The sequence below is a fragment of the Homo sapiens genome, chromosome 5, assembly GCF_000001405.40.
Source record: "Homo sapiens chromosome 5, GRCh38.p14 Primary Assembly".
NCBI lineage: Eukaryota > Metazoa > Chordata > Mammalia > Primates > Hominidae > Homo > Homo sapiens.
The window spans coordinates 126649653-126675013 of NC_000005.10; the positions used below are offsets into that span (position 1 = coordinate 126649653).

The window sequence follows — 25361 nt, forward strand, 5'->3', positions numbered from 1 at the left end:
CTTACCACTAAAATAGACCAGAGCCAATTAAGCCACTTCTCTTTAAGAGGAAGCAGTATCGGCACTCTGTGTCTATTAAGAATCTTTCCAGGGCCAGGCACGGTGGCTCACACCAGTAATCCCAGCACTTTAGGAGGCTGAGGAGGACGGATCACCTGAGGTCAGGAGTTTGAGAACAGCCTGACCAACATAGAGAAACCCTGTCTACTAAAAATACAAAATTAGCCAGGCATGGTGACACACATCTGTAATCGCAGCTACTCGGGAGGCTGAGGCAGGAGAATTGATTGAACCCGGGAGGTGGAGGTTGCAGTGAGCAGAGATTGCACCATTGCACTCTAACCTGGGCAATGAGGAAAATTCTGTCTCAAAAAAAAAAGAATATTTCCATTATTTTCCCTTCCACTGAAAGGGCTAAAGGTAAATTTAGCTGGTAATAGAATAATTTCCAGCAAGGTCTTCGAGTAAAATTTTGAGGTATTTCTTATGTTTATACCACTCAACTAGAATTCAAAATCCAAGGTAATTACTGAGACCAGATTTCCTAGGAATGAGGAATGGGAATGTTGCAGGGCATCCTAAAGGGGCTACACCCTCTATGAACAGATACCTTGCACTCCAGGAGCTCATTAGAGTAAAATTTTTGTACATTTCCAGAATTAAATGGGAAAAAAAAGAAGGTGAACACAAGAGTTGAACTGAACAATGCACAGTGCTTTGTTCTGGCCCCACGAAAACATCTGAATATATCATTTGCATCTAATCGTGCTGTGAAAGTTATCAGGAAGAAAAATGGAGTACCTAATGTTAAAAATAAAACCCTGATAAATAGAGCCAGGGATGGCTGTGAAGAGAGGATTTTCATGTTTATATGCCTGATAACAAAAACTATCACAAAAGGCTCTGCAAAAACCAACCTCCATTGCAAACTTACACAAAAAAAAACTTCTGCAAGGACATCTGCCTAGTAACTCCTTGTCCAATTTCAGACTGATGTCACCCTTGTTATTGATCTCTGTAGCCAAGAATAATTATTTCAAAACAGTTATGCAATCCTCTTCATTAAAAACAAAACAAAACAAAAAAACCTTTGTCTTGCTTTACTTCTCTGAATACATACATACTATGGCATGTGTATTCTCATTGCAGTGCTCTAGTCCCAAGTAAATATCATTTTCTTTTGGAGCGCCTCTCTCTATGTGTTATTTAAATTGACATGGTGTCAGAAATGGGACCTGAAAAAGATCACTATTGGAAGACGATGGCAATTCTTGGAATTGGAGTGCAGTAGTCAATTGAGCCCTTTGAGCTCTCTGCTTCCATGGCTAGCCTTTTCTGCGCTGAGTCTACTCTCAGGCCAGGCCTCCCTCTTTTTGGTAGAACCTCTTAACTTTGTTTGGGATCTGATTTGAACAAGCCCATCTTAATGGCAAACCATCCATCCCTCCTGAGATGATAAAAGACTTTTTGTCTTTTATGGTAACTTATTTCTTGTATAAGAATGTATATCCTTCTAGACTGAGTACTCTGGAGTCTACAGAATTGACATTCTGCCTGTGAGGCATGTCTTTTCTGGTTAATTTATTTTTGGTTTGGTTTGCACGCCTAGTTAAATATTTAACCTGCACTCCTGGGTTAAAATTTTTGTGAGCTTTCTTATCTTGGTTTCTTTTTATTTAGTTTAACTCTTTTCCCTTGATTATTGCTAAAAATCTTTCAGGAACAAAATTAATTGTTCTGGATGGTGGGCACAGGATGGCTAATTAAAAGCCAGTGGGGCATTCATCACCATCTAAAAGACTGGTTTAAACTTCTACCATTTCCTGACAGGATTTATAGAATTTTCTTTGCTCTTGAGATATTAATAAGAAATGGAAAAGGATTTTCAAGCAATAAGGCATGCCAGGTTTTTTGGGACTCCAGAGAGCTACAAATTATAGCCCATTTTTAAACTGATGCACATTTTTAAATTGATGAACAAAATTACATCAAGAAAGATTCAGGCCAGGCACGGTGGCTCATGCCTATAATCCCAGCACTTTGGGAGTACAAGGCAGGCGGATCACCAAAGGTCAGGAGTTTGAGACCAGCCTGGCCAACATAGGGAAACCCCATCTCTACTAAAAATACAAAGAATTAGCTGGGCATGGTGGCACGTGCCTGTAGTCCCAGCTACTCGGAGGCTGAGGCAGGAGAATCACTTGAACCTGGGAGGTGGAGGCTGCAGTGAGCCAAGATCGTGCCACTGCACTCCATCCTGGGGGACAGAGCCAGATTCTGTCAAAAAAAAGAAAAAGAAAGGAAAGGAAGGAAGGAAGGAAGGAAGGAAGGAAGGAAGGAAGGAAGGAAGGAAGGAAGGTTGGTTCAGAGCTCAAATGGTGATTATTCAAACTATCAAAAAAAAAATTTCACAACTATAGAGCCAGCGTGTAGTCTTCTAAGTTCTCCATCTTTCTATTTTTTTTTTCTCCCTACTTTACTTTCAATCTGCTGACAAATCTACTGGCCTTGAGATAAAACTCACTGCTTATGGCATTCCAGCCATGATTTTTTTTTTTTAAGTCTCAGAATTTCAAATTTCTTAATTTTCAAAAGGCCTTCAAATTAATGACTTTACAAATTACAACAGCTTCATGGTAACCAACAACTTAGATAGCTTTAGGAAATATAAATTTAAGTTTTCCTAACAATTGATTACAATGATAGAACACTTAATTGAAAAACTAATAATTTAAAAGAAAAAGAACTAGGTAAGTGTTTATAAAAGGCTGTCATATCAAACAGGTCAATACTTTAAAGCTTAGAAAAATAATATCAGGAATCTCTGCTTGGCATAAAAATTTTACTTTTTCTGCCATACAGAGGCCAAAAAGAAACAACTGGGAAAAAAATGATAAAACTGATTGCTGAACAAAAATATGTTTGTTCTTGGCTTCTTAACCTTTATAGAAAGACTAAATATATTTGATTTATTAATAAACATTTTAAAAATTACAGCCTGGGCAACAAAGCATGACCTTGTCTCTACAAAAAATAAATCAGTAAATAACCAGTTATGGTGACACGCACCTATAGTCTCAGCTGCTCATGAGGCATTACAGGCATGAGCCACTGCACCTGGCCATTTTTTGTTGTGTTGTTGTTTGCTTTTTTTTTTTTTTTTGAGACAGAGTCTCGCTGTGTCGCACAGGCTGGAGTGCAGTGGTGCGATACCGGCTTACTGCAACCTCCACCTCCTGGGTTCAAGCAATTCTCCTGCCTCAGCCTCCCAAGTAGCTGGGATTACAGACACATGCCACCCTGCCTGGCTAGTTTTTTGTTTGTTTGTTTGTTTGTTTTTGTATTTTTAGTAAAGACGGGGTTTCACCATGTTGGCCAGGCTGGTCTTGAACTCCTGACCTCAAGTGATTCGCTTGCCTCGGCCTCCCAGAGTGCTTGGATTACATACGTGAGCCACTATGTCTGGCCCTCTTACCCTTTTTAATGCTATATTTTTCATTTGGCAGGATAATGATATTATTGAAATCTCATAATCAGAAGCTTCTGCTGTCAATTTAGCAGATTCTAGCCTAAGAAATCCTTTCCTATTCATTGGTTAAATAAGAAAATTTCTGTGCTATTGTTAATACTACCTGCTGTAACTGGATAAATTCCTTGGGAAAGTTGAGACCCTGTGTTAGTCTGTTTTCGAAGAAATACCTATGCTGGGCACAGTGGCTCATGCCTGTAATCCCAGGACTTTGGGAGACTGAGGTGGGAGGCTTGCTTGAGCTCAGGAGTTGGAGACCAGCCTGGGCAATATAGCAAGACCCTTGTCTCTAAAGAAAATAAAAATATATTCTTTAATTATTAAAAAAAAAAAGAAGAAATATCTGAGTCTGGGTAATTTAGAAAGAAAAGAGGTTTAATTGGCTGACAGTTCTGCAGGCTGTCCAGGAAGCATAGCAGCTTCTTCTTCTGGAGAGGCGTCAGGAAACATACAATCATGTCCGAAGGGGAAGGAGGAGCAGACACATCACATGGCTGGAGTAGGAGCAAGAATGAGAGCAGGGAGGTGCTACACACTTTTAAACAACCAGATCTCACGATAACTCACTATCATGAGAACTGCACAGAAAAGATGGTCCTACCCATTCATGAGAACCCCTCCCCATGAGCTAATCACCTCCCACTAGACCCCACCTCCAACATTGGTGATTACAATTTAATGTGAGATTTGGGTGGCAACACAGATCCAAACCATATCAGGCCCACTTACACAAAACAAGAAAACAGGCCACATGGTTACAACAGGTATTTGTACAACATGCAATTCCATATGGTCATTTGATTTAATCAGTTGGTTGTTTTTAAGCCTAGGTTTATGGCTCAAAAACATATTATGCAAATTGGGATTGTCATACTATTATTCATTTTACTTTGTATTTTTCCTTTTTAAACTTTGTATCTGCTACTTGTTAAATTTTTACAGAAGTACAACTCTTAACAAAATAATACTGGCTCAACACTTTGAGATGATGGTAAAAGACTATGGAACAGACAAAATTGAACTTTAATAATGGACTTTAGGTATACTTAGCCTGAGAGCCCCTCCCTTCGAACCTCCCTTGTTGCTTAAATATTGCTGAAAGTCTTTTGACACTGACTTCTAGTCACTAGTCACTAGTCACTACCCTTAACACGAGAAGAAACCAGCAACTGGGACAAATTCATCCCTGCACCGAGGGACATCAAAACCTAAGTACAGGCTGGGCGCGGTGGTTCATGCCTGTCATCCCAGCACCTTGGGAGGCCGAGGCGGCAGATCACTTGAGGCTGGGAGTTTGAGACCAGCCTTGCCAATATGGCAAAATCCCATCTCTATAAAAAACATGAAAATTAGTTAAGTGTAGTGGCACATGCCTGTAATCCCAGCTACTCTGGAGGCTGAGGCAGGAGAATTGCTTGAACTGGGAAGGCAGAGGTTGCAGTGAGCTGAAATCTTGCCACTGCACTCCAGCCAGGGTGACAGAGCAAGACTCTGTCTCAAAAAACAAAACAAACAAAGCAAAATACCTAAGTACAGGGTGATTAATCAGTGATACTTTCAGAGAAAGACCTTGATCAACAGAGGAAAATGTGAAAGTTGTCAGAATGAAAATAAAATCACTACTGTTAAAAAAAAAACACACACAAAACCCTAACAAATAGAACCAGAAAGGCTACGAAGAGAGAGTTCTCACACTTGTATGCCTGAAAACAAAAACATCACAAAAGGCTCTGCAAAAACCACAGCCTCACACAAAAGCTACCAAAACCTTAAACAAAAAATACTTCTGTAAGGACATCTGCCCTGCAACTGCCTGTCCACCTTTGGACTGGTATCACCTTTGTTATTGATCTTCGTAGCCAAAGATAATTATTATAAAACAATTATATAATCCTCCTTATTTCCTTTAAAAATCCTTTGTCTTCTTTTACCTCCCTGAATACACATATAGTTAATGATTGCAAAGCTTTATTCCCAAATATCATTTTCTCTTAGAGACCCTCTCTCTGTTACTTAGGTTGACCATGCTAATCCATTCACCATTCTGTGAGATCTGACTCGAAGACTATCTCATTATCCTAAAATATCCATTTTTCTGCTTTTCTGCTTAATTTTCCCTAAGTTTCTGTGACCCCTCCAAGTTATTTCCCAATGAGCAATTCTATCATTCCTCATTTAATTTCACTCTCTTAAATGTAAACTCTAATTAATTTATACCTTTGGCCTACTCCTTTCAGAGCCCTCTTCTTCCACAATTTGTTAGTTTGAGATTGTAAACTTCCGCACAAGAGAGCAGAATATTATGCTGGGTGGGTTAGTCCCAGTGATTGCAAAAAATGCCAGTGAGTATAATTTTCATATGCTGAGAATACTGGTGATTACATTTCACAGTTACTCATTAGCTTCTTGTCAGGCTGAGCATCACCAAGAGCAGGTCTGTAGGTGAATCCCATATAGGGGAGTATGGGAGAGGAGGTGAGCAGTGGCTGGAATCTAGCCAGCACCCCACTCACCAAGCTGTGTGAATCTCAGGGCATTCAGTGAGGCCCTGGCAAATGGGGATCAATATAAAAATACTCAGTAAGACGTCTTCTCTGACTTTAACGTGATTTACTGATAGAAGCCTGCCTTTCAGAAAACATCTTTTTCTTCTTTTTAGAATGTGGGAAGATGTGTGTGATAGAATACTAAATAAGTTGAGATTTACCTAGTTTTGTGGACAAAAATAACGCATATGACCAGAAAACAAAGTCAGTGCATCCAATTGTTTCCAGTATTATTTCTGCATGGAGGAGTTATGGATGATTCTTATTTATATCCTTATACCTTTAAAAATTATCAACAGCATGGCTGGGCTGGGCGATAGCTCACACCTGTAATTCCAACACTTTGGGAGGCTGAAGCAAGGGGATTGCTTGAGCCCAGGAGTTCGAGATTAACCTGGGTAACATAACAAAACTCCGTCTCTACCAAAAATACAAAAATTAGTTGGGCGTGGTGGTGCACTCCTGTTGTCCCAGCTACTCCAGAGGCTGTGGTGGGAGGACCACTTGAGCCTGAGAGGTCGAGGCTACAGTGAGCCGTACTGCACCACTGCACTCCAGCCTGGGTGACAGAGTAAGTCCTTGTCTCAAAACAAAAAAAAAAAAAAAAAAAAAGGAAGAAAGAAAATAAAAATTATCTACAGCAGATGTATTTTATCAGAAAAGACGGAACAATTTTTGCTTTGTATACACTGCTCCTCGTGTGGAATGCACTCTCCCTCTGTTCTGTCTGTTAGAGTTTCAAATCCAAGATAAATGTCAAGTCTTCTGTGAAACCTGTTTCCTAGTCTATTTTCTCCTTAACTTGACTTTTCCACCCTGATTTTTCCAAGTTCATTATTTGCCTAATACTTCCGCTTCCTGACCAGAAGAGGTCGGTGTTGCGTCGCTTAAGAAAAAGCAAAGCCTTTCTGATAAATTGTTTTGGGGTTTTTGTTTGTTTTGTTTTGCTCTTTTTTACTAAGGGAAAACTTTTTCTTTAGAAATATGATATTATATTTCCTAGAGATATTATGATATTATAGAAGTTAGACATAAACATCTATCAGTGCCTCTGTAACTAACAAGTTTTCAAGTGGAGTATTATCAACAAATGGAAACTTATAGCCTTTGGATTATTCTCATTAGTACCTAGCACTTTACTAAGCCACAGAGAATTTTATCTGATATGTAAAACTTTGAAAGTAGAAAAAGAGAAAACAAGAGAGAATACATTTAAACAGGAAAACCAAACTTTTCCAGGGACAAACTAAAAACCATTAGTACAGTACTTCAAAGCATCAACTTGGGAGTTAGACCAACTAGGATTTGAGGTTTTTTTGTGTTTTTTGTTTTTGTTTATTTGTTTGTTTTTGAGACGGTGTCTTGCTCTGTCAGCCAGCCTGGATCTCAGCAGTGGTGCGATCTCAGCTCACTGCAACCTCTGCCTCCCGGGTTCAAGTGATTCTCCTGCCTCAGCCTCCCAAGTAGCTGGGTTTACAGGTGTGCACCACGATGCCCGGCTAATTTATTTTGTATTTTCAGTAGAGACAGGGTTTCACCATGTTGACCAGGCTGGTCTCAAACTCCTGGCCTCAGGTGATCTGCCTGCCTTGGCCTCCCAAAGTGTTAGGATTACAGGCGTGAGCCACCGTGACCGGCCGGTATTTGAGTTTTGACTCCATCACTTACTGTGCAACTTTAAGCATGCTCCATACACCACAGGCCTCATCCTCAGCTTCTCATCTTGAAAGTGGGGATACTGATAGCTAATTCACAATATTGTTTTTATTTTGTGGTGGTAATGATGGGTTTTTTGTTTTGTTTTGTTTGTTTATTTGAGACAGGGTCTCACTCTGTCCCCCAGGCTGGAGTGCAGTGGTGCGATCTGAGCTCACTGCAACCTCCAAGCCGTGACTACAGGCGCACGCCACCACACCTAGCATAGCTGTCCGCTCTTTAATTTTCACTGTGGGAACTACTCTCCTGGCACCAAGTGTCTTACAATAACCTCTTAGTTCATCCCCTGCCTCCTCTCTCACCTTTCCCATAAATAAATTGGGACAATTCAGTTAATTCTGTATGCTGCTACTAGAATGATGTAGTCACCTGTGGTCCCTTCATCTTTCTGTTAAAAAGCCATTCATAGGCAGGGTGCGGTGGCTCATGCCCATAATCCCAGCACTTTGGGAGGCCGAGGAGAGTGGATCACTTGAGGTCAGGAGTTTGAGACCAGCCTGGCCAACATGGCAAAACCCCTTCTCTATTAAAAATTAAAAAAATTAGCCGGGCGTGGTGGCGCGGGCCTGTGGTCCCAGCTACTCAGGAGGCTGAGGCATGAGAATTGCTTGAACTCGAGAGATGGAGGTTGCTGTGAGCTGAGATCGCCACTGCACTCCAGCTTGGGTGACAGAACAAGACTGTCTAAAAAAAAAAAGCCATTCATGAAATGTTCTGTGGATGGATGGTGACGGTGATTCCACAACAATGTCAATGTACTTAGTGCCACTGAACTTACACTCAAAAATGGTTAAAATAATAAATATTATGTTATGCATATTTTATTACCAAAAAAATTAATGATTCAAACATCCACAACATAATGTTCTATAGGGACCATCACCATCCAACTCCAGTCAATCTTCATTAGTACAGCTGCATCTTACTGTATGATGGTCATACCACCCCCAGCGCCCCCACATACGCTTGCACTCACACTCCTTTCTCGGCAACAACTTCCTTCAAAGTCCTCATACCTAGCCTGTGCTTTTTCTTGGATTTAGCTCTTTTGTTTTTCAAACTTGCTGGATATAACCATATGCTGACCTTCCAGCCATTCAAAGCCCAGTTCAGCTGCATTTCGTCCATGAAGTCTTCCCTCTCATATCTGTCGTGTTGGAAATAATCTCTTTTGCTGGGCTTCAGTGTTTTCTATCACTATTCTGCCTGTATAAATCTTCTTAAGGACTGAGACCGTGCCTTAATCCTCTTGGTATTTCCCCTCACTTTTACCACAGTGCTTCGCACGGAGCTACTTGGGAGGCTGAGGTAGGAAGACAGCTTGAGCCAAGGAGTTGGAGGCTGCAGTGAGCCATAAATGCACCACTGCACTCCAGCCTGGGTGACAGAGTGAGACACTGTCCCCCCAAACTCCTCCCAAAAAACAGATGAATCTTCATTGTAAATGATTTGTAACAATGAACTCTGGACTTCTTAGCTATTTTTACTAGCTTAGCCATTTTACTTGGCCATTTTTACTAGGAGAAAAGTTTAACTCTTTTTTTCCTTTTTTGTTTTTTTTTTTTACCTTTTTTTCTTTTTTTTAAACTTTTTTTCTTTTTTCTTATTTTCGGAGAAAAGTCTCTTAAAAAACAAGAAAACAAAAACACAAAGAAAGAGTTTTGAACCTACTTGAGGACTGAGCTCCTGGTCTAATATAAATATACATTTTCTATTTCAAAAAATAGCATTCTTAGGCCAGGCGCGGTGACTCATGCTTGTAATCCCAGAACTTTGGGAGGCTGAGGTGGGTGGATCTCCTGAGGTCAGGAGTTTGAGACCAGCCTGGCCAACATGGTGAAACCCCATCTCTACTAAAAATACAAAAATTAGCCAAGCGTGGTGGCATGGGCCTGGAATCCCAGCTACTTGGGAGACTGAGGCAGGAGAATCCCTTGAACCTGGGAGGCGGAGGTTGCAGTGAGCTGAGATCGCACCGTTGCACTCCAGCCTGGGCGACAAAAGCCAAACTCTGTCTCAAAAAAAAAAAAAAAAAAAAATTAGCCAGGCACAATGGCAGGCCCCTGTAATTCCAGCTACTCAGGAGGCTGAGGCAGGAGAATCGCTTGAACCCAGGAGGCGGAGGTTGCAGTGAGCCGAGATCATACCACTGCACTCTAGCCTGGGTGATGGAGTGAGACCCTGTCTGAAAAAAAAAAAAAGAAGTTGGCTTTCCTTTAGGTGGATGTGGTAGTACACACCTGTAATCCTCGAAACTCAGGAGGCTGAGGCAGAAGAATCACTTGAACCCGGGAGGTGGAGGTTGCAATGAGCCAAGATCGCACCACTGCATTCCAGCCTAGGTGACGGAGCAAGACCCTGTCTCAAAAAAAAAAAAAAAAGAAATTGTATTTCCTTTTGTTCCTAAGCAGATAGCTACCGATAAAAGGTTAAATCTCTCTGTAGGTAGCTACTCTGTGTTCACCTTTTATGTAAAGTGCTAACTTATGATTTACTTAGAGCGAAATGAATACATAATTGACTATTACCCTCCCTGCTCCTTTTCTCCTGCAACATGTGGACTACCATACACTTCCTCTTTCCCCTCCAGCCCATTTTTCCCCTTTAAATATTGAAGCCCTCAAAATCATCTTTGGAGAAAGGCACAGACCACAGACTGTGTGATTTCTTGTTTATTTCTTCCAGGCATGTCCTTAAACTTGACAAAATAAACTTCTTAATTGATTGAACCTGTCTCAGATCTTTTTTGTTTACAGTAGTCACAGCCACAGCCCACATAACTGAGGCAGATTTAGAGAAATTGGATCATGGGTAAATGACTTTCATTTCCTATAAGCAAGGTTGATGATGTTGCTGTTTCACTAGTACAGGCTGCTTATGACCATGTTCATTCTGATTGATGAATACTACTGCTGAATAGTGTGTCAATGATTTTGATTACTGCTCTTTTCTGAAAGCTTTTAGGCCTAGCTTTTGAAAACAGAATGATCTAGAAACAGAGAGAAGAATCATTCTCCACCACCAAATACAGAGTGCTGAGTCCTCAGTACTGAACCCAAAGGCTGGTAGGTCATAGAGAGTATATCCTGAGTCTATAAAGGCAACTGATTTTGTTTTTGTTTTTGAAACAGAGTCTCACTTTGTCGCCCAGGCTGGAGTGCAGGGGCATGATCTCGGCTCACCGCAGCCTCCGCCTCCCAGGTTCAAGCGATCCTCGTGCCTCAGCCCCCCAAGTAGCTGGGATTACAGGCGTGCGCCACCACACCTGGCTAATTTTTGTATTTTTAGCAGAGATGGGGTTTCACTATGTTGGCCAGTCTGGTCTCGAATTCCTGGCGTCAAGTGATGCACCTGCCTTGGCCTCCCAAAGTGCTGGGATTACAGACGTGAGCCACCATGCCCGGCCGAGGCAACTGTTATATAAATACTTTAAGGTTAGCGAAAATATTGTTTAGACTCCATGCAAAAGTACTAACCATAAAGAAAAGAGTGAAAATTTGATGTTCATTAAAATTAAAAACTTATCTTCATCATAAGATTCCATTAAGGGAGTGAAAGGAAGGCCATAGACTGATAGAAGACATGTGAAATACATAAATCCAAAGTCTTCCATTCAGAATATATAAAACACCCCTTTAAATCAATAAGAAAAAAAATAAGCAATCCAATTTTTTTTTTTTTTTTTTGGAAATGGGGTCTTACTCTGTTGCCCATGCTGGAGTGCAGTGGCACAATCTTGGCTCACTGCACCCTCTACCTCCCAGGTTCAACCAATTCTCCCATTTCAGCCTCCTGAGTAGCTGGGACTACAGGCGTGTGCCACCATGCTCGGCTAATTTTTCTTTTGTTTTGTTTTTGAAATGTAGTCTCACTCTGTCACCCAGGCTGGTGTGCAGTGGCACGATCTCCGCTCACTGCAACCCCTGCCTCTCAGGTTCAAGTGATTTTCCTGCCTCAGCCTCCAGAGTAGCTGGGATTACAAGTGTGCACCACCATGCCTGACCTTTTTTTTTTTTTTTCATAGTTTTAGTAGAAACAGGGTTTCACCATGTTGGCCAGGCTTGTCTCAAACTCCTGATCTCAAGTGATCCACCTGCTTCTGCCTCCCGAAGTGCTGGGATTACAGGCGCGAGCCACCACACCTGGCCTAATTTTTGTATTTTTTGATAGAGACAGGATTTTGCCACGTTGGCCAGGCTCCAATCTTTCAAATGGGAAACAGACAAACAGGCATTTAACAAAAGAGAGCATCCTCTTTGTTCTCTGGCAGCGTGAGGGAAAAGCATGCCCCTTTATTTTCTCTAGGGACTTCTTGTCTCCTATGGATAGGCCTTGGGCAAATCACACACACACACACACACACACACACACACACACAGACACACACACCCCAAGCACAGATGAGCAATAATTCTCAGCGATGATGAAGTTCAAATCCAAACTAAGAACAACACACATTTTCCCAAACACAAAAATAATTTTCAAAGATGACTCCTGCACACAATGAAGAAAATAATTTGGGCTCTCCAGATCTTTGCACTAACAAGAAAATTATTTGTGATGCTTTACTTAGCAAAACAAAACAGCCATTTATACCTAGTCTCTACCATCAGCAGCATGAAGAATTAGCAAAGGCTTTGAAATCAATTTTTTTTTTCTGAAGATCACCAGGAGAAAAATGTACTGTCCTCTGTCTGGAGTCTTTGGAATTTAACTCTCTCTCCCTCAGACAACCACACACACACACACACACACACACACACACACACACACACCACTTTTTTCCTTTAATACTTTTTTTTTTTTTTCGAGACGAAGTCTCACTCTGTTGCCCAAGCTGGAGTGCAGTAGTGCAATCTTGGCTCACTGCAACCTCCGCCTCCCAGGTTCAAGCAATTCTTCTGCCTCAGCCTCCCGAGTAGCTGGGACTACAGGCGTGTGCCACCACAGCTGGCTAATTTTTTGTATTTTTAGTAGAGATGGGGTTTCACCGTGTTAGCAAGGATGGTCTTGAAGTCCCGACCTCAGGCAATCCACCCACCTCGGCCTCCCAAAGTGCTGGGATTACAAGCATGAGCCACTGCGCCCTGTCTTTCTTTTTTTTTTGAGATGGAGTCTCCCTCTGTTTCCCAGGCTGGAGTGCAATGGCGCAACCTCGGCTCACTGCAACCTCCATCTCCCGAGCTCAAGCGATTTTCCTGCTTCAGCCTTCTGAGTAGCTGGAACTATATGTGCGCGCCACCATGCACAGCTAATTTTGTACTTTACTATTAGTAGAGATGGGGTTTTGCCATGTTGGTCAGGCTGGTCTCAAATTCCTGACCTCAGGTGATCTGCCCACCTCAGCCTCCCAAAGTGCTGAGATTACAGGCATGAGCCACCACGCCTGGCCTCTCTGGCCACTTCTGATCTGTTCTTTGTTACTGTAATTTTGCCACTTCAGAAATGTAATATTAATGGAATCATAAGGCATATAACCTTTGAGACTGGGTTTTCTCACTCAGCATAATGCACTTTTAACTAATTAATTTACTTATTTTTTGAGACAGAGTCTCGCTCCATTGCCCAGGCTGGAGTGCAGTGGCACAATCTCAGCTCACTGCAACCTCTGCATCCCCGGCTCAGGCAATTCTCTTGCCTCACCCTTTCAAGTAGCGGGGACTACAGGTATGTGCCACGCCACTCAGCTAATTTTTTGTATTTTTTTTCAGTTGTTTGTTTCCTTTAAATTAACATCTAAATAGATTATACATGTTCTATAATTATAATATGGAAATGTATATGAGCAAAATATATAAATTTTTGGTGAATGCTTAGGGAAGAATGATGTCAGTCAAGTTCATCCAAGGTCTTAAGCAGCAGCATCTATGCAGCCAGGATGTGGTCAGAGTTTGGGGACAGAGGTAGATATCCGCAATCCATGCATCTCTTTGATTTCTTCTTTTAGTGCCTGATAAACCATCTGGTGCTGCTGGACAGTTCTCTTCTCCTTAAATTCTTCTGATTCAATTTTAATTTCATACATCGTCCCACAACTCCAGAAATGTCAGTGACTTTGATAGCTGTAGCTCGTGGAAACTTTTCTTTGAGAATTTGGGTCACTCTGAGCTCCCCCTCAGTCTGGGTGGCAAACATCCCATGGTGAAGTGGAAGCCCGCAGATCCCGCGGAGCAGAGGCGCTGCTGCGGCCGGGCTCCATGCCGCCATGCCCCGCTGACGCGACCCGCCGCCCGAGGTCACTGTATGCCCCTAATTTTTTTGTATTTTTAGTAGAGATGGGGTTTCACCATGTTGGCCAGGCTGGTCTCGAACTCCCGGCCTCAGGTAATCCACCCACCTCGGCCTTCCAAAGTGCTGGGATTACAAGTGTGAGCCACCGTGCCCGGCCAGACCAGCCCTTTGCAACATTGTAACCTCTGTGAGTTTGTTTTCATTAAATACACTTTCTCTTTTCTATATTTATGAGCCATTTTCCTAAAGATTGGGGCCTCATATCTTCAAAATGATAACTCCTTTCTTTCTTCTTTTTTTTTTTTTTTTTTTTTTTTGAGACAGAGTCTCACTCTGTTGCCCAGGCTGGAGTGCAATGGTGTGACCTCGGCTCACTGCAACCTCTGCCTCCCAGGTTCAAGTGATTCTCCGGCCTCAGCTTCCCAAGTAGCTGGGATTACAGGCGTCTGCCACCACGCCCGGCTAATTTTTGTATATTTTTAGTAGAGATGAGGTTTCACCATGCTGGCCAGGCTGGTCTCGAACTCCCAAACTCAGGCAATCCACCCGCCTCGGCCTCCCAAAGTGCTGGGATTACAGGCGTGAGCCACCGCACCCGGCATTCTTTCTTTCTTCCTTTTCTTTCTTCCTTTTCTTTCTTCTCTTTCTTTCTTTCTTTTCTTTCTTTCTCTCTCTCTCTCTATCTCTCTCCCCCCCTCTCTCTTTCTCTCTCTCTCTCTCTCTCTCCTTCCTTCCTTCCTTCCTTTCCTTTTTGGTCAGGATTATAAAGGTGTTCATCCTTTGTCTTTCTGGGGAGTTGATTAATTATTTTCAAGTACAGGAAGGTTCATTGTCATTCTGGTATTGGAAGACAAAGATGATACTTGTGTCATAGTTTTTTCAAGCAATCGCCTGTGCACTTTATCCTAAGTGTTTACCACACAAGAAGTCTTTGACCGGTGCTACCTGTCAGAGGAGAGAGAAGTTTTTGTGAGCCAAGGGTCAGAGTGGGTTCCAAGAGGTCACAGGATTTGAGGAGATGAGAGCTGGGCATGGTGGCATAGGCCTGTAGTTCCAGCTACTCAGAAGGCCAAAGCCGGAGGATTGCTTGAGTCCAGGTGTTCAAGGTCAATCTGAGCAACATAGTGAAAACCCATCTCTGTTAAAAAAAAAAAAAGGATTTGAGGAAATTAAAACTGCAGTGGACTTTCTACATGAGGAAAAAGTACAAATAGAGGCAATAAGGAAGTAAAAAACACCCACTGTATTTATGGGAAGGTGAAAACCTCCTGGGTAAAACAGAAGGTTTCTGTTGGAGAATAAAAAAATATACTGTTAGATAAGAAATGTGATGCATCCTGTAAAAAACTTTAAATCCCCAAACAAATGATTGACACAGATTACTGTGAATTAGAGGGGATGTTCATGATCAGAACAGGATTTGACAAAAATTAATCTGGCAATACTTCAAAGGATGAATTGGAGACAAAGAGACAGGGACACTTCTTTGGAAACATATCCAGGTAAGAAGTGCCAGATTCACATCAAAGCTGTGTGAATGAAGACAAAGGGGCTGCTTGTGACATTTTATGTTGGAGTGAATCACATACACAATGGAGAATTGGGCACATGGACACAGGTTTGACCCACAGCAGAAGAGGTGAATTGTACTTGGGAGTGATCTTTATAAAGGAGGTCAGGAAGGCAATATTAAAGAGAGTTATTTTAACCTCCAAAAAAAAAAGGAATAAAACATTTTTCTAGAAAGACAGATGGTGATACAGAGAGGAAAAAAAAAATCGGCCAGGCACAGTGGCTCACACCTGCAATCCCAGCACTTTGGGAGGCCAAGGCAGGTGTATTACCTGAGGTCAGGAGTTCGAGACCAGCCTGGCCAACATAGTGAAACCCCCATCTCTACTACAAATAAAAAAAGTAGCTGGGTGTGGTGGCATGTGCCTGTAATCCCAGCTACTCTGGAGGCTGAGGTATGAGAATCGCTTGATCCTGGGAGGCAGAGGTTGCAGTGAGCCAAGTTTGCACCATTGCACTCCAGCCTGGGCAACAAGACCAAAAGCCTGTCTCCAAAAAAAAAAAAAAAAGAAAAAAAGAAAGAAAATCAAGTAAGAAAGAAACCAAGGTGTGGTGTCAGAAGTAGTAAGACGTACGGAGCTTTCTTTTCTTTTCTTTTTGAGACTGAGTTTCGCTCTTGTTGCCCAGGCTGGAGTGCAATGGTACAATCTTGGCTCACCGCAACCTCTGCCTCCTGGGTTCAATCAATTATCCTACCTCAGCCTCCCTAGTAGCTGGGATTACAGGCATGCACCACCACGCCCGGCTAATTTTTGTATTTTTAGTAGAGACAGGGTTTCTCCATGTTGGTCAGGCTGGTTTTGAACTCTCGACCTCAGGTGATCCTCCTGCCCCATTATCCCAAAATGCTTGGATTACAGGTGTAAGCCACTGCTCCTGGTGGGAGCTTTCTTTTATGGTGAAATTTTTTAAGGAAGCATTTAGTATGACTAATCTGTTTTCCCCTTCCGAAATAGTTCACTTAAGTACAGCCTAATTAGGAGGGAATAGACTATGCACCCAAGATCAAGATTGGACTTGCTTTGTTACCTTCTAAAGACTCATGAGAGTGGCAATATTTAAGAATTGATACACTGAGAACAAGCCATGAATGGATGTGTGGGTGTGCATTTTTAATCAAAGCAGGAATGACATAACTAATCATGTCACTAACTCAAATTTCTCGTGTCTTAATGCAAATCAAATTAACACTATGACTCTCATTTATCTTATTAAAAAAGCAATTCCCAACATGTATTACTTATTTATTTAGAAAATAAATAACTTTATCAACCTGCTTTGGAGATATAAAATGCCCTGAGGAAGCAGTAGTCAGGATAAAAGCCAGCTACTGCCAATTATCTTATACTGCCCTCTTGGATTCAGAAACTCACAGCTGGGCATGCACCTGTCATCCCAGCTACTTGGGAGCCTGAGGTGGGAAGATTGCTTGAAAACAGGTGTTCGAGACCAGCTTGGACAATGTAGTGAGACTCCTATCTCAAAAAAAAAAAAAAAAAAAAAAAAAGAAGATTCACAAGCCTAGTTTCTCCCTGTTTCCTCTCCTTCACCACATTCCACTGATGTTGGCCTTCCTCCTGTACTTCAAATATGGTGAGTTTGTCCCCATCTCAGAATGACCTGGAAAGTTCTTCCTGAGATTTTCACATGGCTGTCTCTTTCTTATCATTTATTTATTTATTTATTTATCTGAGACAGGGTCTCACTCTGTCACCAGGCTGTCACTGCAGCCTCGACCTCCCAGGCTCAAGTGATCCTCCCACCTCAACCTTCCTAAGTTCTGGGATTACAAGTGAAAGCCACCATGCCTGGCATCATTCAGCTTTTTCTTTTCCTTTTTTTTTTTTTTTTTTTTTGAGCAATAAAGCTTTTTAATCACCTGGGTGCAGGTGAGCTGAGTCCAAAAAGAGAGTCAGCAAAGAGTGGTGGGATTATCATTAGTTCTTATAGGTTTGGGATAAGTGGTGGAGCTAGGAGCAATTTTTTGTGGTCAGGGGGTGGATCTCACAAAGTACATTCTCAAGGTCGGGGAGAATATTACAAAGTACCTTCTTAAGGGTGGGGGAGAATATTACAAAGTACCTTCTTAAGGGTGGGGGAGAATATTACAAAGTACCTTCTTAAGGGTGCGGGAGAATATTACAAAGTACCTTCTTAAGGGTGGGGGAGAATATTACAAAGTACATTCTCAAGGTCGGGGAGAATATTACAAAGTACCTTCTTAAGGGTGGGGGAGAATATTACAAAGTACCTTCTTAAGGGTGCGGGAGAATATTACAAAGTACCTTCTTAAGGGTGGGGGAGAATATTACAAAGTACCTTCTTAAGGGTGGGGGAGAATATTACAAAGTACCTTCTTAAGGGCTGGGGAATATCGCAAAGTACGTTATCGCAAGGGCGGGGAGGGTGTATTGTTATAAGGTCAGTTGATCAGTTAGGGTGGGGCAGGAACAGATCACAATGGTGGAATGTCATCTTTCATAGTTCTTCAGTTGCTTCAGGCCATCTGGATGTATACATGCAGGTCACAGGGGATATGATGGCTTAGCTTGGGCTGAGAGGCCTGACTTCTTATAGTAATTATTAATTATTCCTGTCTTCTTATATTAATAAGAAAAACAAAACAAAATGGTGATGAAGTGTTGTGGCGGCGAAAATGTTTGGCGATGGTATGGAGAGATAATGGGGGATGTTGCTCAGGGCTGCTTCAAGTGGGATTAGGGGCGGCGTGGGAACCTAGAGTGGAAGAGATTAAACTGAAGAAAGATTTGGGGGTAAGGGGTGGTGGTGTGGGGTTGTTAGAGGGAGCATTTGTACAGAATGATTGGTGATGGCCTAGATGTGGTTTTGCATGAATTGAGAAACTAAACAGAAGACAAGAGGACCAAATAAAAGAAGGAGAAAAATAGGTACTAAAGGACTAAGAATTAGGAGTACCCAGGACATCCAATTAGAGAGTGTCCAAGGGGGTCCAGCATAGTTGTTTGCTTGGCTAGCGAGTTTTTGGGTTTTATCCTTGAGTTTTTTTTTTTATGTTGTCATATACCAGGCCAGATTGATTTAGGTAAAAATAACACTCTTCATTTAAAAATATACAGAGTCCCCTTTTTATTTTTGTAGCATTAAGTCGGGTCCTCAGCAATTTTGGAGGAAAGAGAAACGCAAAGCCAGCAATTGTTTGTTAAAGAAGGATTAGAAATGGCTAGGAGAGAGTGAGTAAGATTGACAGTGTGGTGGAGATAGCTGGGGAGAGGTAGAGGGTGGCATAGAATAAGAGTGAATATAAAAGTAAAGAATAGGACTTCATCAGGGTGAAAGTATTTGTGTGTGCCCTATCAGCAAAGATCATCTATCCACTCCAAGAGGGAGTCAAGAGTGGCAGATTGGGGAAAGTACCAGGAGATATCTGCTACGATGGTTTGGAGGAAAAGTGTAAACCGGCAGTGTAAACAAGGGCAGGGCATATACGAGTAGTTAAGAATGGTGAATAGGAGTATGACTAGACAGAAGATGGTAGGGATGACAAGTTTTTGGGGTGCAGTCCAAGTAGTGGGGGTGACTGCGTTGTAAAGAGTACTCTGCATTGTAAAGAGTAGGGTAAGGAAGAAGAGACCTAATAAAAATGAAAGGATGTATTAGGCTTATAAGGGTTACTATTATCCTTTAGGAATGCAGGTGAGTTTAAGGGAAGTAGGAGAGAGTACTTGCGACTTCCAGGCGGAAGAAGAGAAATCAGGCTGTCTGTCTGATGGGCACAGCTTTACTCTGGGATGATGAACCTAAAGGGAGGAGGGTCCTGCAGATGAACAGCTGTTGGGGTACTATAGATGACTAAGTGGGGTCCGGTCCACCGAGGTTGTAGAGTTTGAGGGGTCAGATTTTTAACAAGAACTGATCGATGAGCTAGGGTGTCTTCATATGGCTGGGAATCTAGGGTAGGCAAAAGAAGATTAGCAGCTCAGCAAATTTCCTGTCTAGCTTGCTGGAGGACTGGAAGATAATCACCTAGAGGGCTGGTGTCTGGAATGAGACTGGGGCCTAATCAAAAGGAGCGTCCATACAGGAGCTCAAATGGGCTGTACCCTGTAGCATCCCGAGGACAGGCCCGAATTCTGAGAAGGACAAGTGGTAAAAGTACTGTCCAGTCGTTTTTAAGCTGGAGGCTGAGCTTGGTGAGGTGTGTCTTTAAAAGACCATTAGTTCTTTCTACCTCTCCTGAGTATTGAGGGCAATAAGGAGCATGAAGTTTCCATTGAATGCCCAGGGCCTGGGAGACTGCCTGAGTGACTTGACTAATAAAGGTCGGTCCATTATCGGGCTGTATAGAGGTGGGAAGGCCAAACGGAGGAATTGTCTGACAGAAGGGAGGAAATGACCGTGGTGGCCTCATACCCTGTGGGAAAGGCCTCTACCCATCCAGTGAAAGTGTCTACCCAGACCAAGAGGTATTTTAGTTTCCTGACTCGGGGCATGTGAGTAAAGTCAATTTGTCAGTCCTGGGTAGGGGCAAATCCCCAAGCTTGATGTGTAGGGAAGGTGGGGGGGCCTGAACAATCCCTGAGGAGTAGTAGAATAGCAGATGGAACATTGAGAAGTGATTTCCTTGAGGATAGATTTCCATGATGGAAAGGAAATGAGAGGTTCTAAGAGGTGGGCTAACGGCTTGTAACCTACATGGAAGAGGTTATGAAAGGACAACAGAATAGAATGGGCCTGTGAGGCTGGAAGGAGATATTCTCCTTGGTCCAAGAACTGTTTGCCTTGTGTGGGAAGAGATTAATAGGTGGAAGTTTCAGTGGGAGAGTAGGTGGGAGTGACCGATGAGAAGGAGACAAACTGGCTGTGAGGGACAGAAGTTGGAACACTAGCTGCTTTTTAGCTACCTTATTAGCATAAACATTGTCCTGAGCGATGAGGCCACTGCAAGGTGGCCCTTGCAGTGAATGACTCCAGCTTCCTTTAGAAGTAAAGCAGCCTTGAGAAGAGTTTTCATTAAAGAGGCATTAATGATGGAGGGCCCTTGCCTAGTGAGGAAACCTCTTTCTGCCCATATAACAGCATGGTGGTGCAGGATATGGAAGGCATATTTAGAGTCAGTATAAATATTGATGCATAGTCCCTTTGCAAGAATGAGGGCCTGAGTTCAACCTACAAAATGGGAGAAAATTTTCACAACCTACTCATCTGAAAAAGGGCTAATATCCAGAATCTACAATGAACTCAAACATATTTACAAGAAAAAAACAAACAACCCCATCAAAAAGTGGGCGAAGGATATGAACAGATACTTCTCAACAGAAGACATTTAGGCAGCCAAAAGACACATGAAAAAATGCTCATCATCACTGGCCATCAGAGAAATGGAAATCAAAACCACAATGAGATACCATCTCACACCAGTTAGAATGGCAATCATTAAAAAGTTAGGAAGCAACAGGTGCTGGAGAGGATGTGGAGAAATAGGAACACTTTTACACTGTTGGTGGGACTGTAAACTAGTTCAACCATTGTGGAAGTCAGTGTGGTGATTCCTCAGGGATCTAGAACTAGAAATACCATTTGACCCAGCCATCCCATTACTGGGTATATACCCAAAGGACTATAAATCATGCTGCTATAAAGACACATGCACACATAAGTTTATTGCAGCACTATTCACAATAGCAAAGACTTGGAACCAACCCAAATGTCCAACAACGATAGACTGGATTAAGAAAATGTGGCACATATACACCATGGAACACTATGCAGCCATAAAAAATGATGAGTTCATGTCCTTTGTAGGGACATGGATGAAACTGGAAATCATCATTCTCAGTAAACTATCGCAAGGACAAAAAACCAAACACCGCATGTTCTCACTCATAGATGGGAATTGAACAATGAGAACACATGGACACAGGAAGGGGAACATCACACTCTGGGGACTGTTGTGGGGTGGGGGGAGGGGGGAGGGATAGCATTAGGAGATATACCTAATGCTAAATGATGAGTTAATGGGTGCAGCACACCAGCATGGCACATGTATACATGTGTAACTAACCTGCACATTGTGTACATGTACCCTAAAACTTAAAGTATAAAAAAAAAAAAAAAAGAATGAGGGCCTGAGTTAAGGCAATGAGTTCAGCTTACTGAGAGGTAGTGGAGGGGCAGAGTGGTAGTCTCAATGATAGATGTGGAAGATACTATAGCATAGCCTGCCTTTGCTGGTGTGTGGTGATTAGGCCTGGTGGAACTGCTATCGATAAACCAAGTGTGATCAGGGTGAGGAACAGGAAAGAAGGAAATATGGGGAAATGGAGTGAATGTCAGGTGGATCAGAGAGATATAGTCATGGGGGTCAGGTGTGGTATCAGGAATAATGTGGGAGGCCGGATTGAAGTCCAGGCCAAGAACAATGGTAATTGTGGGAGACTCAACAAACAGTGAATACAGCCAAAGGAGCCGGAGGGCAGAAAGTATATGTGTCAGGTGTGAGGAAGAAAATAGACTTTGAAAGTTATGAGAACTGTAGAGAGTGAGTTGAGCATAGTTTGTGATTTTGAGGGCCTCTAAAAGTATTAAAGAAGCAGCAGCTGCCACACGCAGACTTGAGGGCTAGGCTAAAAGAGTAAGGTCAAGTTGTTTGGACAGAAAGGCTACAGGGCGTGGTCCCAGCTCTTATGTAAGAATTCTGACCACACAGCCCTGCACTTTGGCTGTGTGTAATGAAAAAGGTTGGGATGAGTTAGGGAGAGCTAGTGTGGGAGCAGATTTTAGGGCTGTTTTTTAAGGAATGGAAAGGGGAGTGGGGCAAGGATTTAGGATTTATGGGGTCAGCTAGGTTTATCTAGAACAGAATAATGGGTTGTAGAGGGAGATATTGAGGATAGGAGAGTATATGGGTTTGGCACCATGGGGTGGATAGGCAAGACAATTTGGTTGATAAGGCGCAGATTCTGAACTAACCTGTAAGGCTTGTCTGGTTTTTGGACAGGTAAAATGGGGGAATTGTAAGGAGAGTTTATAGGCTTTAAAAGGCCATGCTGTAACAGGCAAGTGATGACAGGCTTTAATCCTTTAAAGTGTGCTGTGGGATGGGATATTGGCATTGAGTGGGGTAAGGGTGATTAAATTTTAATGGGATGGTAAGGGGTGCATCATCCGTCACCAAGGAGGGAGTAGAGGTGTCCTATACTTGTAGATTAAGGTGGGGAGATACAAAGGGAGGATGTGAAGGAGGCTTTGAACTGGGGAAAAAGGTGGCAATGAGGTGTGGCTATAGCCCAGGAATAGTCAGGGAAGCAGATAATTTAGTTAAAATGTCTCGACCTAGTAAGGGAGCTGGGCAGGTGAGGATAACTAAAAAGGAGTGCATTAAAGAATGTTGTCCAGCTGGGCGCGGTGGCTCACGCCTGTAATCCCAGCCCTTTGGGAGGCCGAGGAGGGCGTATCATGAGATCAGGAGATCAAGACCATCCTGGCTAACATGGTGAAACCCCGTCTCTACTAAAAATACAAAAAATTAGCCAAGCATGGTGGCAGGCGCCTGTAGTCCCAGCTACTTGGGCGGCTGAGGCAGGAGAATGGCATGAACCTGGGAGGCGGAGCTTGCAGTGAGCCAAGATCGTGCCACTGTACTCCAGCCTGGGCAACAGAGCAAGACTCCACCTCAAAAAAAAAAAAAAAAAAAAAAGAATGTTGTCCAAGTTGGCACCACAGTTGGGGAGTTTTAAGGGGTCTAGCAGCCTGGCCATCAATACCCACAACAGTGGATGGTGGCAAGGGAAACGGGCCCTTGAAAAGAAGGTAATGTGGAGTGGGTAGCTCCCGTATTGATTAAACAGGGTGTCAGGCCTCTGAGCCCAAGCTAAGCCACCATATCCCCTGTGACCTGCATGTACCCATCCAGATGGCCAGTTCCTGCCTTAACTGATGACATTCCACCAAAAAAGAAATGAAAATGGCCTGTTCCTGCCTTAACTGATGACATTATCTTGTGAAATTCCTTCTCCTGGCTCATCCTGGCTCAAAAGCACCCCTACTGAGCAACTTGTGACCCCCCACTCCTGCCCGCCAGAGAACAACCCCCCTTTTTCCTTTACCTACCCAAATCCTATAAAACTGCCCCACCCCTATCTCCCTTCGCTGACTCTCTTTTCGGACTCAGCCTGCCTGCACCCAGGTGAAATAAACAGCCTTGTTGCTCACACAAAGCCTGTTTGGTGGTCTCTTCACACGGACACGCATGAAACAGGGGATGGACTTACCCTCCACTGTAAGAGTTACTCGAAGCTCGGGGTCCGTGATAGTCCCGGAGCTTCCAAAGCGATTGGGCAGCGTCAGTCTTCAGCTGTTGAGCCAAGGAGATCTGGAAAGGAGTCGGCCAAGGAACGTTGGGTTTGAGCTCTGGGAGCTTTAGGAGTGGCAGCTATGTGAGTTGGACAGTCCGACTTCCAGTGGGGGCCCGCACAGACAGGGCACAGCTTAGGAGGAATCCCGGGCTGCAGGCATTCTGAGGCCCAGTGGCCAGGCTTTTGGCATATGAAGCAAGGTCCACAGGGAGGTTTTGAAGGAGCCCCTGGGAGATGTGGCTTGGATGTTCTGAAGTTTTTGTATGCTGGAGACAGGGTTTTGGGTTGTCTTACAGTGGAGGCAGGTAGCTGTAACTCAGAGATGCATTGTCGCTTGGCTGCTTCTTCTCTATTATTGTACACCTTGAAGGTGAGGTTAATTAAGTCCTGTTGTGGGGTTTGAGGACCAGAATCCAATTTTTGGAGTTTTTTTCTAATGTCGGGAGGGGTCGGGTAATAAAATGCATATTGAGAATAAAACGGCCTTCTGTCCTCTCTGGGTCTTGGGCAGTAGAGCATCTAAGGGTTGTTGTCAAATGGGCCATGAACTGGGCTGGGTTTTTATAGTTGATGAAAAAGAAAAAAGAGCCTAAATGCTAACTGATTTGGGAGAGGTCGGTTAAAGAAAAAGGAGCATTAACCGTGACTATGCCTTTAGCTCCAGCCACCTTTCTAAGAGGAAACTGTTGGGCAGGTGGGGGAGGGCTAGTCCCAGAACGAAGCTGTAAACCAGACCAGGTGTGAGGAGGGGAGGTGATAGAATGATTATAGGGTGGGGGAGGGGAGGCTGAGGAAGAATTGGGACCTGGCTACACCTGGCGCGGAGCAGCCTGGGGAGGAGGGGAGAGGTCAGATGAGTCCGTAGGAAAGGAGGATTCAAAGGACTCAGAGCTTGGAGTGGAGACTGAAGGAACAGACAGGAGAGAAAGAGGAAAGATTTGGGAAGAGTCGCATTGGGAGCAGAGATTAGGAAGGGACCGATGTGTAAAAGAATGCCTGGACGTCAGGCACCTCAGACCATTTGCCCATTTTTCGACAAAAATTATCTAGATCTTGTATAAGGATCTTGTATAGGATAGACAAATCGAAAGTGCCATTCTCTGGCCACTTGGAACTACTGTCGAGTTTGTATTGGGGCCAAGCAGTATTGTAGAAGAAAATAAGACATTTAAGTTTAAGTTCTTGAGAGAAGAAGGGGGAATGGAGGGCAGAAGTTTAGTGAAAAGACCGCTTACCCGATTTGAAATTGGTGAGATGTTCCTTGGGCTGGCTGGTCTGAGGACCCAAGGTCGTAGGTGGATCTCCTCATGGAGTGAGGGCGAGGACAGGGGGCTGGTCTCCCAAAGGAGTCCTCCTGTCCCAGGTTTTCAGCACCAAATGTCACGCACATCCACATGAAGATACCGCCAAACAGGCTTTGTGTGAGCAATA

At 43.2% G+C, this 25361-nt stretch overlaps 1 long non-coding RNA gene and 1 pseudogene across 2 annotated transcripts; both read right to left on the reverse strand.

Annotated features, from left to right (window-relative positions):
• Window positions 1-10110: 10110 nt before the first annotated feature.
• On the reverse strand, window positions 10111-25324 carry LOC105379162 (uncharacterized). 2 transcript variants are annotated; one of them, XR_001742530.1, is made up of 3 exons: window positions 25166-25324; window positions 23847-23947; window positions 10111-10149 (listed from the first exon to the last, which is right to left on the reverse strand). It is a non-coding gene; the product is annotated as an uncharacterized LOC105379162 (long non-coding RNA). The 2 variants fall into 2 exon arrangements; XR_948740.1 differs by lacking the exon at window positions 10111-10149 and adding an exon at window positions 14719-14967.
• Window positions 13498-14036, reverse strand: BOLA3P3 (bolA family member 3 pseudogene 3; annotated as a pseudogene).
• Window positions 25325-25361: the final 37 nt, after the last annotated feature.